General features: G+C 37.2%; 1 protein-coding gene across 14 annotated transcripts in view; it reads right to left on the bottom strand.

Annotated features, from left to right (window-relative positions):
* Window positions 1-13,880, bottom strand: part of TDRD3 (tudor domain containing 3) — a 178,347-nt gene that overhangs the window by 47,289 nt on the left and 117,178 nt on the right. The gene's annotated exons all lie outside the window — the stretch shown is intronic.

The following is a 13,880-nucleotide window of genomic DNA, read 5'->3' as shown; positions in this document are numbered from 1 at the left end:
AAACATAACACAATGTCTTATTTTAACAAATGCAGTCAATATTAAATTTTTCTTTAGAGAGAAGAAAAATGGTCACTTTTAGTTTCTGCTGGCATTGTTTACTGCCCAGGAGTAAAGATTTCGGGAAGAATAGCAGTGACCATAATCAGGACACAAATGAGCACTTTCAGCAGAAGGCATATATTGGCTTTTGTTCCAGACATTTTTATAAAAGCAGCATTTGCCTCCTGTTGATTATCTGCTATGTATTACATAGCCCACACTAGCACTTTATATACATTATCAATAGTCTCCAAGATAGTTTTATGATACAGGTGTTATGAGGCTTAACAGAGAGAGGTAAACTAAGGTCCCTTGTATAGTACATTGAATAAATATTTGGGGAGTAAGCTTTTCAGATCTGCTGTTTAGGGAAGAATTTTTCTTAAATTATTCCACTGAGGGCCCCTAATATTTATGATAATCAGGAGGAAGAGAAAATATTAAGTCATCACGAGAGTAACTAAGTATCCTGGACTACAGATAAAGGATGAATAACGATGCATACAGAATGAAAGTTCAGCCAGGCTTGGCAGATGTGGCAGAATTTGATTTCAATTCTTCTAAAAGGAAAATACAAAAAATTTCCTAATCTACAATTTAGAATTAAGGGGTACTATGGGTCTATGGAACTATACTGGAGAACTATATTAATAGGAAAATATAAAATCTTTTCACTTTGTTCCAGATCCAATCTACTTAAAGAATTTCTGATTTTTTATTATTGTTTTCACTAACAATTAACACTTTCATTTATGTACTCAAGCACTCTCATGCACCAGCCTTCTTACATCAAAAGTACTATCTTAGAAAAGAGAATGAAAAATTCCTGAACAGCTTATTATTTAACAAATAAACAAACTTAGGAAATTGCTGATAGTAAAGAGGAAAAGTCATTACACTTGGTACTTAAAATATTATTTTCAGTTACTGAATTGATGATGATGTACATTAGACTACAGAATAAAACAAGTAATTTTGTTAATAATGAACATACTTCATATCCATTACTATGCTGAGATAATATAGTGAGAGTAAAATTTATAAAGAAAATTATTTTTTAAAAATAAGAATTCCTGGCCAGGTGCGGTGGTTCACCCCTGTAATCCCAGCACTTTGGGAGGCCAAAGCAGGTGGATCACCTGAGGTCAGGAGTTCGAGACCAGCCTGGCCAACATGGTGAAACCCTGTCTCTACTAAAAATGCAAAAATTAGCCAGGCTTGGTGGCGCGGCCCTGTAATCCCAGCTACTCGGGAGGGTGAAGTGGGAGAATTGCTTGAACCCGGGAGGTGGAAGATGCAGTGAGCCAAGATTGTGCCACTGAACTCCAGCCTGGGCGACAGACAGAGATCTCGTCTCAAAAAAAAAAAAAAAAAAAAAAAAAGAATTCCCTTAATATAGTAAAATAAACTCACAGAGGTAGAAAGTGAAAATTGTGGGGTTTTTTTTTTTTTTTTTTTTTTTGAGAGAAAATTTTGCTCTGTTGCCCAGGCTGGAGTACAGTGGCGTGATCTTGGCTCACTGCAACCTCCACCTCCCGGGTTCAAGTGATTCTCCTGCCTCAGCCTCCAGAGTACCTGGGATTACAGGCGCCTGCCACCACGTCTGGCTAATTTTTGTATTTTTAGTAGAGACGGGGTTGGCCAGACTGGTCTCAAACTCCTGACCTCATGATCTACCCGCCTAGGCCTCCCAAAGTGCTCGGATTACAGGTGTGAGCCACTGCGCCTGGCCGAAAATTGTGTTTTTTAAAGAAGTTAGTTTTCATATATATCCATTTCATTCAAAATGAAATAATACCTAAGAAGTCATTCTTGGATTTCCAATCATTCTTGGATTCATCATCCAATCATTCTTGGATTTCCTTAAGCCCAATACCTTTTATCTTAGGTTAGTTAAATCATAAAGTCATATATAAAGTAAGTATTTTGAAACTGAGCTCATCTATTAAACACATAACAAATATACTCAATTATTAAATTGTGGGAGAGGCAATCGTTCTTTTCTTTTCTCTTTTTTTATTTATTTATTTATTTTTTTTTTTGAGATGGAGCCTCACTCTGTGGCCCAGGCTGGAGTACAGTGGTGCAGTCTCGGCTCAGTGCAACCTCCGCCTCCCGGGTTCAAGTGATTATCCTGCCTCAGCCTCCCAAGTAGCTGGAATTACAGGTGCAGACCACCACGCCCGGCTAATTTTTGTATTTTTAGTAGAGACGGGGTTTCACCATATTGGCCAGGCTGGTCTCAAACTCCTGACCTCAAGTGATCCACCCGCCCTCGGTCTCCCTAAGTGCTGGGATTACCATGAGCCCCGTGCTCAGCCAGAAAAGCAATTTTAAATAAACTAAGAAATATATCCCAAATCAACTGAAAAGGCAGCTCCTTGGTTCCCCAGTCAGATTCTAAGTTCTCACCTCCCCTTTTTGAGAAGGCATCATGATTCTAAACTACATTAGATACCAATGGACAGCACAGGTCAGGTCTGCCATCACTCTAATAAATATACTAAGATATTTTTCTGTACAGTCAGCAGAGTACAATGCATCACATTTTTTTAAATCACCCCAAAGGAAAAGGTGGAAAAAAAAAAGCACAAGTAGAAATGGGTAACATTTAATATTAAATAGCAGAAAAAAGAAAAGGTTAGCAAAAAGTGATAGAAAAATGTACTACAGGACCAGTGCTATGGCTCACGCCTGTAATCCCAGCACTTTGGGATGCCAAGGTGGGTGGATCACTTGAGGTCAGGAGTTCAAAACTAGTCTGGCCAACATGGTGAAACCCCATCTCTACTAAAAATACAAAAATTAGCTGGGCGTGGTGGCATGCACCTGTAGTCCCAGCTATTCAGGAGGCTGAGGTAGGCGAATTGCTTGAACCTGGGAGGTGGAGGCTGCAGTGAGGGAAGATGGCACCTCTGCATTCTAGCCTGGGTGACAGAGCAAGACTCTGTCTCAAAAAAAAAAAAAAAAAAAAAGAAAAATGTATTGCAAAATAGACAAAACTGTGAAAACATGTAAAAGATCTAAAAGACCAAGGTGGGGAAAGCTCATATGAGAAAACTAATCAAAGAATGCTATATGAGTTTAGTATGATTTGAGAGAAAACATTCCTATTATTACAAGATTTTAATTTTCAAAATGTATGTTTGTGAGATAATTGACTACAATGTTTTACATCACCATGATTTGAAATGCAAGAATAATTAAGAATAAACTTATTAATTGTCACAAATCATTTAAATCTGTACATAAGGATGTACTAAATTAATCAGGCATCTTAAAATATTAATACTTTTTTGCAGAATATTCTCCAGAAGCAGTTGTACCTGCATTTTGTAGTAGAAAATCAGGTAGAATTTGTTTCCCAAGACTAATCCTCATTTTATTCTGATACACCTACCTGAAGAAATGCCTTAATATTTATTAAGATCCTAATATATGCCTGACTCTATGTTAAAGGTCTTTTGCCTACATAATTTCATGTAATCCTCACAGCCATCCTAAAAGGGCAGTATTATCATCTTTATTTTGCAAGTGAAAAAATAATGTGCCTCAACTAAAGGCTGGTGCTAGAAAATGCTGAAGCCAGAATTAAACTGAAATCTAACTGAAGCTAAAACACATGATTTTTCCATTATGCCAAGCTGCCCACCCAGAGGAAAAAAAACAGAATGTAACCAACAACATGTTACCTTCAATTTTATCACCTGTATCTGTTCATTTCTGGTGAGATGTAGAAATCACAAAGGCTCTTTCACAATCCCTGATGGGGCTGAAAAATACATTTGGACGCTAGGACTGCCAGAATCCTGACCTAAAATTAATAATCTCTTTCTATTAACGCAGAAAAACCTAAACTTCTATTGAAAATTGGATTGCTATTTAGAGCTCACAAACTGGCACTTAGAAATAGCAAAAGAAAGACTACATAGCTTTTTATCATGGGGTACCACTTACTAGTTCTGTAACCTTAGGTGAAATATTTAACTTTTCTGAGCCTCATCTTTAAGATGGGGGTAATAATAGAGCATACCTCGGAGGATTAACATATGTAAAGTACTTAGGACAGTATCTGGCTTTAATAAGCACCCAATAAATGTTTAATTAGCATTAAAATTAAGCAAATAAACTTAATTGATGACACATCAGGAAAGACAAAAAATCAGAAAATAAGGTGCTTCCCTATTTATACATTCCCACTACCACCAACTCCTATTTTTAGTTCGGATCTTTATCTTGCTTTAGTTTTCTTGTTTATTTGTTTTTATTTGATTCTTAATGAAAACAGGGCAGGAAGAATGCTTTAATAAAAACTTCTTTATTCTCATATTATAAAAGTCATATTACAGAGAAAATTTAGATACATCAGAAAATCAAAATCATACTCTAATACTGTTTTTCACTTAAAATATAGTATATCTATAAACATTCTCCATATAAAAATATTCTCTACATCCTTTAATTTTTTTCTATATTAAAAATGCTAAGAAATATTTAAAAAGTAAAAAAATTACTCTTGATCCTATCATTAGAAAAATGTATAGAAGAAAGTTCCACCTTCTGCTTATCAAATCCCACTTCCAGATATAGTAATTATTCAGTTTTGGAGGTTACTCTTTTTTATATAATTCATACACTTTCTTTTTTTTTTGAAACGGAGTTTCACTCTTGTTGCCCAGGCTGGAGTGCAATGGTGCGATCTCGGCTCACCGCAACCTCCACCTCCCGGGTTCAAGTGATTCTCCTGCCTCAGCCTCCTGAGTGGCTGGGATTACAGGCATGTGCTGCCATGCCCGGCCAATTTTTTGTATTTTTAGTAGAGACGGGGTTTCTCCATGTTGGTCAGGCTGGTCTCGAACTCCTGACCTCAGGTGATCTGCCCACCTCAGCCTCCCAAAGTGCTGGGATTACAGGCGTGAGCCACCGCACCCGGCCCATACACTTTCATTTTTAACAAAAAGTAGACTCATGCTACATCTCGTGGGCTGCAATTCAGTTTTAAAATGAACAGTATCTCATGGGCATCTTTCCAGTTTAGTGACTATAGGTATCTCATTCATTTCTGTATTACATTTTTTTTTTTTAAGAAAAAGCTGCTTTAAATATTTTTACATAGTTACTACGTTGAGAGTAGGGTCTGAGTCTTGCTCAGCATTGTTTTCTCCAGTGCTTAGCTACGACAGAATCAGGCAAATAGGTGGCACTCAGTAAATATTTGCTGAAAGAAAGACAGAATTACTGAAAATACTGGGAATGAAACAAGCCTCCAAGTTCAAAATTGCTATCTGTTTAACACCATTACCTGGGCTTAGCTAAGGGTGCAAGATTGAAATAGAAAATATACTCCTTTACTTTTACTTCTTTAGGAGAAGTTTGCAGCAAAGCACATTAGGGTAGATTTAGATTGAGTTCAAATGATCACAGAAAAAGATTGCACAACACACAAAAAGTAAACTTATAAAAGCCATCTCTGATTTGCACTAGAGAACACTGAGCTTGAGACCAAATAAACTGCTTTTCTAGTTTTGCAGTAATGCACCTTTGACAAAGTCACAAAGAACCCCAGTTTCCTCATTTGTAAAATATCAGTAATGATTCTTTCCACAGGATTATGGTAACGATTCAATTTGAAAATATATATAAAACTGCTTTCTCCTGGGCCCAAACAAAGCGTTTGGAATTAGACTGACTACTGGAATTAAATTCCAGTCCTAACCACTGAGCAGCTGTGTGACCTTGTAAAATTGGGATGATGCTACTTACCTCTTTCCTTCACTGTTACTCATCATAGTTACTGAGCATCAACTGCTGGTGGTGTCGTCAACGCTCTCCTAGTCACTCTATATGAAAGCAGTAGTTAAGACCCATTGCCCTCTATCCTGTGGAGCTTAGTTATAATGGGCAGAGGCAGACAACAAATAGGTAAAAAGAACAAATAATGTAGCTTAAAGCTGTAATAAAATCTATGAAAGAAATCAACTTATGAAAAAACTAGGAGGAGTGGGGAGTACAGCAATGTAGAGGGAAAACGTCTGTGGAGAAATGGGGTTTAGGTGAGCCCTAATGAGAAGAAATGTGATGAAAGTAGGGAAGAGTCGTCCAAGAGGAGAGAACAACACATACAAAGATCTTGGGCTAGAAACCTGCTTAACTTCTAAGTAAAGCCATAATCAACATTAATTATTAATTTCAAAGGAAAAATTATTGTATATTCCAATATCATAAAGTTGATGTCCATTATGCTAAATAAAAACACCAGATCCCAGAAAAAATGATCACAAGAATTAACATTAGTTTTAATCTGGCATGGTATTTTTCTTTCAATTATAATTTGTATAATTATTCAAATATATACAATTGTTTTCCTGTTCTCATTAAAATCTTTATAGATACAACACATATTAAATTGAAGACTAAGCTCAAAATAAACATATTTATGATGCCCAGTGTTCAAACAACTAATTTTTTGGTGTTTCAAAGCCCCTTTTAAAAGAAAACTGAGAAAAGCCAATTTTTAAAAAGTTAGCATAAAGCATAAGACTAGTGCTGTTATAAATGAACAAATCATGAGAATTCTAAGAAAAAGTGCCACACACACCAACAATACAACTGCAAAGATTGCCCTGTTTAGTCCCATGTAAAATGCATGCAAAGCCCAAACTAGTCCTTACAAATACAAAAAAGAAAAAAATTTCTAGTTTAGTAAAATTTCTCACATAATTAAAAAACCAAATGAGCTTACCTCAGAGTACAGTTATAACATCCCTATTTCACAGATAAGGAAGCTAAAGAGGCTTGACAAGGTCACACAACTAGCACAGGGTAGAGCTGGGGGATTAACTGAGTAGATTCCAGACCCCAGTATTAACCTCCCTCTTAAACCTCAACAAAGCTACCATTATACTACTGGCATTAAATCATTAATAACCATGAGTTATTTTCAGTATTTCATCATGAAACTCAGGTTAGGATTACTATAAAAATATTTTTCTGCCAGGGTTAAAAAAACTACTAATGGACAAATTGATCCATTAAATGAAAATACATGTATCTGAGTAATTTAGCTACTTAGATAAAGTCAGATATGGCTCTCTTGTTGATAAACAGGTATTTATATACGAGGCACTAGACTTGTGGGTCAAAAACCATTTAGAAATAACCTTATGTTATTTTTGCTTTAATACAAATATTAATATACAAACCTATTTCCTTATCTGTCAAACGGAAATAATATATATTTTGCATTTACAGATGATAAAATGAATTAATAGTATGCAAAGCACCTAGCATAGTCCTGGCACATAGCAGATGCTCAATAAATGACACATTATTTTATCTTATGGTTAATAAATGTATAAGCGAACGGACAATTAATTGAGGAGGAAGAAAATAATGGCAAAAATGAAAAAGAGGCTCATGTGTTCTAGTATTCTAAGAAAAGCTATATCCATCTTCTACAGATCCAAGTACCAAAAAAAGTAATAATATTATCATATGCAAAGAAATTAAGTTAATTTAAAACAATGTAGATTTAATATGCAAACCCTACAACAGAGGAAACTTCTTCAGTTTACTAATGCTCAATTATATTAGATATAACATCTTTCAAAAATTCACAGCAAAGTATATTAGGATCATCTGAATTTAGAAACGCCCCTAATAATATTCTAATAAAACTGTGGGCTAAAAGGAACCTACACATCCTCTTTTCATGGTATTTTACAGAGACTAGTTCTGAAAAATCAGGTCCTTTGGGTTTGGCTCTTAGTAAAGTCTGGAGATGTTTGTAGCTTAGTGCTGGATACATTATTAGTCTAAGAAAGCATCCATGTATATAATGCATTAAGCATAATTTAAGGTTCATAAAAGATGAAGCCTAGAACTCGCACATACCTAGGCAATTAAGTATGACACTGAAATTATTAACTACCTTTTTACATGTATTTACAAAGTCAAAATACTATAATGACTTAAAAAGCAACACATCAATGGCAGGACAAGGTGTTTTTCACTCACCAGTTTTTTTTTAAATCACAATTCTAGGTGAGGCCAATTTTTAGGGATTTTTCCCCAATACTACAGTTATGTAACAAACCATTACTCAAACTTAGTGGCATAAAAGAACATTCGCTTTATTATGCTCACAGATCCTGTGGGCCAGGAATTCAGAAAAGGCACAGTGAGGACAGTGTGTCCCTCTCAGATGTGGAGCCTCCAGTGTTAAGATGCACAGCTTGAGAGGGGCTCAACAGCCAGCACCAGAATCACCTAAAGATTCACATACCACACACAGGTCCAGGGCCAGGGCTGGGAGCACTTACAGACTAGGACTGAGGACTGGAGGCAGCCTCTCCATGAAGCTTGGGTGCCTCACTGCATCACTGTCTCAGAGGAGGCAGCAGTGTAGTATATTTTCACTTCCCACCTGGTACTGTGCCTGCCATCTTAAACTACCTGCCTGGCCTTGTTACTCTGACAAAAGCTATCATGCTGTCAGAATGCAGGTAAATCCAGAGACTGCAATGTCCTAACAACATAAACCAGAACATTTCAAACTTACTGTAGTGAAAGACCAGGGTTTTTGTTTTAGCTGCAGGTTCTGGTTTTAATTTCCAATCTGCTGCTGACTGTTACTTTTGTAAAATGCAGTAACAAATGTTTAGGTACTGTCAAATTGCTAAAGCGGTTTCTAAACACTCTCAATTTCAGCACTGAATCTGTACTTTTTTGTTGACTAGATACTAAGTGGCTCTGGCACAGACTATTAACTATTAAAGGTAACAAGTTGTCCACAAATAGAATTGGAAATAATTAATTCAAGTTAAGCTTAAAGTACTATCTAGAAATTTGGGGTACATTTGCACTTCAAAACGAATGGAATGGTAAAAAGGAATCAGCTTTACAGGAAGAAAAATTCAAGGGCTGGGAAGCCCATAGAGATGGCTAGGAATAGAAAGAAAGTGATAGGCTGTGGGTAGATAGCTACACATTTCTTCTGCTTTCTGCTGTGCTGGCAGTTGATGACTTTACTCACATAGCAACCATTTATCCCTGGTTTCCAAACAGGCACTCTACCATAGATTTCCATCAATATGTAGTAATGCTGTTTGATGCAATAAGATATAAATATACATAATAGTCAATACATAGATGATTCTTGAGGAAATCCCTCACAATAACATCTAGCCTAATATATACACATTCTCTCTTGTCTCGGCCTAGTTTCCTTCCTTTCCAATTAAGCTATTACCATTATATTACATTCCCTTTGTGAGGTCCCTATTCTTCAGTCTTCAAAGTTCAAGCAGTAAATCTACAAGGCAAACTATCCAAAGTGACCTGAAACTTGAATAAAAAAAAAAAGCAAAAACAAAGCCAAAAAGACACCTTCCATGAACTATCAAAGATCTGCAACTTGATGTGAAGTGCCCATCAACCATTAATGTATCTTTATATCTGCTAATATCTAAACAGATTATTTACATCTATATATTCTGTTAACCAATATAAATACTAATTCTCACAAAATCCACAGAAAATAAAAATAATGGAACACCATAAAAACAATATAAATAATGTAGTCTGAATTTTATCCTGCCAATGAGAAGAGTCAATGGAGCATTTTAAGCCAGCAGGTAGTGTGATCAAATTTGTGGTTTGAAAGGTCACTGACCACAATATGCAGAATGGGATCATAAGGTTCTGCAAAAAACAGTGAAAGCCGATGAAAGCCTTGATGAAGGCCTGAAGTAGGGCAGTGAAGGTGGAAATGATACATGGTGAGTGGAGGATGCTGTTGCATCTGCTGCTGTTGCTGATGCCAAGCACTAGGCTTAGCACTTCATATACATTATCTAATTTGATCTTCCCAACGACCTTGTAGCCCTACAATAGGTGCTGTCACTACTTCTCCATTTCCTGATGAGAAAATTAAGGTTAATAGTTCTATATCTTGCCCAAAGACATACAACTAGTATACAAGAGCTGTGAGTTTAGTGGTGGAATTAGTTGTATGTATCTGCTCCAGTACACTGTCCTTTTCATTAGATAACAGAAAACAATGCAATCCAACCTCACTTTTTTCAGAATATTAATAAAAACGTCAACTAGAATTATGTTTTATTCCAATTTAAAGATATAACAACAAAAAGTCAATGCTGAGAAAAATTTCTAAGAAAAGTAAATGTGATAATCAATTATTTCTAATGAAACTTTTAAAAATCAGAATATATATTTTTTTCCAACCAGCCTGACAAATTACTGTCCAGAATCTGATATGACATAACAAGTCCATCCAAGCCAAGGCTTACTGCGCTAAATTCTGACTTCTAGAGGTACTAAAACTAAACAAAATCCTCAGACAGCTTATGCTGATACAAAACACAGAAGCAAGAAAGGTTTGATTATGCAACTGTATTAGAAAAACAAACTTTTTAAACCCTAAATATATGCATATCACTGAATCACAATTACTTCTTTGTAATGTCAATTTGAGTCTATAACAGACCCAAATAAATGATGCTGCTAATATGAACATAAATAAGATCTTAACTCTCTTCATTAGCTGTCCATAATGCATTTAACCATTAAACATTATGAAGATGTTATCCTGAAACACTTTCTAGATTTATCTTAGAAAAATGTCCAACATTTTCTCCCATCAATGAAGTTAATTTTAGAACAAGAGATTTACAGAAAATAACCAAATTTTCCACCAAAGTGGAGATTCAACTTTATAAAAGTAAAAATTTACTCTGGGCTTTAACTCCAATTAAAAATACATGCTATCTTAAAATGAGCTGAAAAACAATTCAGTAGCTTGCCTCAACTGTTTTTGTGTTTGTTTGTTTATTTTACAATATACCCCAGCTCACCTAAGAATACTGGCACTGAGTAGTGTGAGCAGGTCAACAAGAGAAAGTAACACAACGATACCTGCTAAAGATACCTGAGGGCAACCAACACACAGCTTTCCCATCAATCCTGTTATCTTCATTGTACCCATGAAGACAGAACCAAGAGAATATAAGAAATAGCTACAGGCAAAATAATCTTCCATATATATATGTGTGTGTGTATCACTTTATCGTCTAGCTATTTGTACTTATGTGTGTTATCATGAATCTCTTCTGTGTGAGGCCAACATCATCAAAGAGAGTTTAGGGTCAGAAAAGCTACTAGTAATGGTGCAATCAGGTCCTGGTAAGGTAAACCTTTAAAACAATGAAATAGCAAACCAAATAGTGTTTTCAAGTCTGCCTGATTAAAGTATTTAGTAGCCATTCGAAACAATGGGTAGGTCTTATTTTGGCAATAAAACTTTGAAATAAAAGACTAAATATTATTACAGGTTACAAATATACCAGATCAAATCTGATTACTGTTTTCAAAATAACTTCTGCTAAGCACTTATATTTTGCTCAGTACTGTTTTGTTTTACATTAAGTAAATGATGAAATCCTTTGAAAGTAAGCATTCCTATGTCCCTTTAGTTTATGACTTCTTCTGTCTCACACACTAGACAGTGAGCTTCTTTGGGACAAGAGGTACAAAATCAATCTACTTCCCTGTGTTTTCTGAATGAGGTATTTTAAATACTAAATAAAATACTGCATTTATTGAATGAATAATTCCCCACAACACATACAACTATTGTCTGTTTTCAATCTCAATCCCATCTTACCCTATTTTCCTTTTGCAGACAGGAAATTTTTTCTTAAAGCACCAAAATAAACCTCATGGCTCTTATGCCAAAAACCCTTTAATGCCTTTGTATCACATTCGGACAGAATTAAAACTCCTTAGGACAAAATCCTTGTGATCTGGCTCTAGCCTACCAATTCCATGTCTCTCCTCACAGCACTACCTCTACCATACATTCCCAGGCACAGGGAATTGGTGCTCTGATGCCTCCATGCCTGTATACATAGTGCTCCCTCCACTTGGACTGCCCCAACACTTCCCCTCAGTCTTAACTAGATGTCATCTCCCCTAAGAAGCCTTCTGCCCATTTCCTGAATCTGTCAGTGTGCCCTCCCCACACAGTACATCTAGGAGAGATTAAAAATTTTGCTTCCTGTATGTAGTGTGATAGGCCCCCAACAAAGTTACTAAACCTTGAAGGCAAGACTGTGAGCCAAGGTCATGGTGCTCATCCAAGGAGCAGGTGTCCCTGAGAACCCAAACATAAATTTTCCAAACTTTTATCATGTGTTTTCCCTTTAAAACTGAATGCCTTTAACAGCAACCAGGTCACATCTTGAATGCTTTGCTGCTTAGAAATTTCTTCTGCCAGATACCCTAAATCATCTCTCTCAAGTTTAAAGTTCCACAAATCACTAGGGCAGAGGCAAAATGCTGCCAGTCTCTTTGCTAAAACATAACACCTTTGCTCCAGTTCCCAACAAATTCCTCATCTCCATCTGAGACCACCTCAGCCTGGATTTCATTGTCCATATCATTATCAGCATTTTGTTCAAAGCCATTCAACAAGTCTCTAGGGAGTTCCAAACTTTCCCACATTTTCTTGTCTTCTTCTAAGCCCTCCAAACCATTCCAACCTCTGCCTGTTACCCAGTTCCCAAGTCACTTCCACATTTTCGGGTTATCTTTTCTGCAGCACCCTACTCTGCTGGTACCAATTTACTATATTAGTTCATTTTCTTGCTGCTGATAAAGACATACCTGAGACTGGGTAATTTATACAGGAAAAAGAGTTTATGGGACTTATAGTTCCACATGACTAGGGAAGCCTCACAATCATGGCAGAAGGCAAGGAGGAGCAAGTCACATCTTATGTGGATGGCAGCAGGCCAAGAGAGAGCTTGTTCAGGGAAATTCCACTTTATAAAGCCATCAGATCTCATGAGACTTACACTATCACAAGAACATCTCGGGAAAGACTTGCCCTCATGATTCAATTACCTCTCACCGAGTGCCTCCCACAACATGTGGGAATTCAAGATGAGATTTGGGTGGGGACACAGCCAAACCATATCAACTTCTATAGTGTCTCCTAAATCATGAAGTTATGGGAAAATATAGCATAAAAGTCTGGAAAATTTGCAGACTGACAATGTGATAGAAAAGAAAATCCCATTTTCTGAGAAATCCAAGTCAGCTGCAAAAATATGCGTAAGTAACAAGGAGCTGAATGTTAATCCCCAAGACAATGGGGAAAATGTCTTCAGGGCATGTCAGAGGTCTTCATGGAACCCCTCCCATCACAAGCCAGGAGGCCTAGGAGGAAAAAATGGTTTCATGGGCTGGGCCCAGGGTCCCCATGCTATGTGCAGCCTAGGGACTTGGTGCCCTGCATCCCAGGCACTCTAGCCATTGCTGAAAGGGACCAATGTAGAGCTGGGGCCGTGACTGCAGATGGTGCATGCCTCAAGCCTTGGCAGCTTCCACATGATGTTGAGCCTATGAGTGCACAGAAGTTAAGAATTGGGGATTGGGAACCTCCACCCAGATTTCAGAGGATATATGAAAATGCCTGAATGCCAAGGCAGAAGTTTGCTGCAGGGGCGGGCCCTTCAAAGAGAACCTCTGCTAGGGCAGTGCAGAAGGGAAATGTGGAGTCAGAGTCCCCACACAGAGTTCACCACTGGGCACTGCTCAGTGGAGCTATAAGAAGAGGGCCACCATCCTCCAGACCCTAGAATGGTAGATCCACCAACAGCTTGCACCATTTACCTGGAAAAGCCACAGACACTCCTCGCCAGCCCATTAAAGCAGCTGGGAGGGAGGCTGTATCCTGCAAAGTCACAGAGGCAGAGCTGCCCAAGACCATGGGAGCTCTCCTCTTTCATCCGTATAACCTAGATGTGAGACATGGA

This window comes from Homo sapiens, chromosome 13, assembly GCF_000001405.40.
Source record: "Homo sapiens chromosome 13, GRCh38.p14 Primary Assembly".
NCBI lineage: Eukaryota > Metazoa > Chordata > Mammalia > Primates > Hominidae > Homo > Homo sapiens.
The sequence above is the reverse complement of the archived record's forward strand: the minus strand, read 5'-3'. Positions and strand labels throughout refer to the sequence as shown.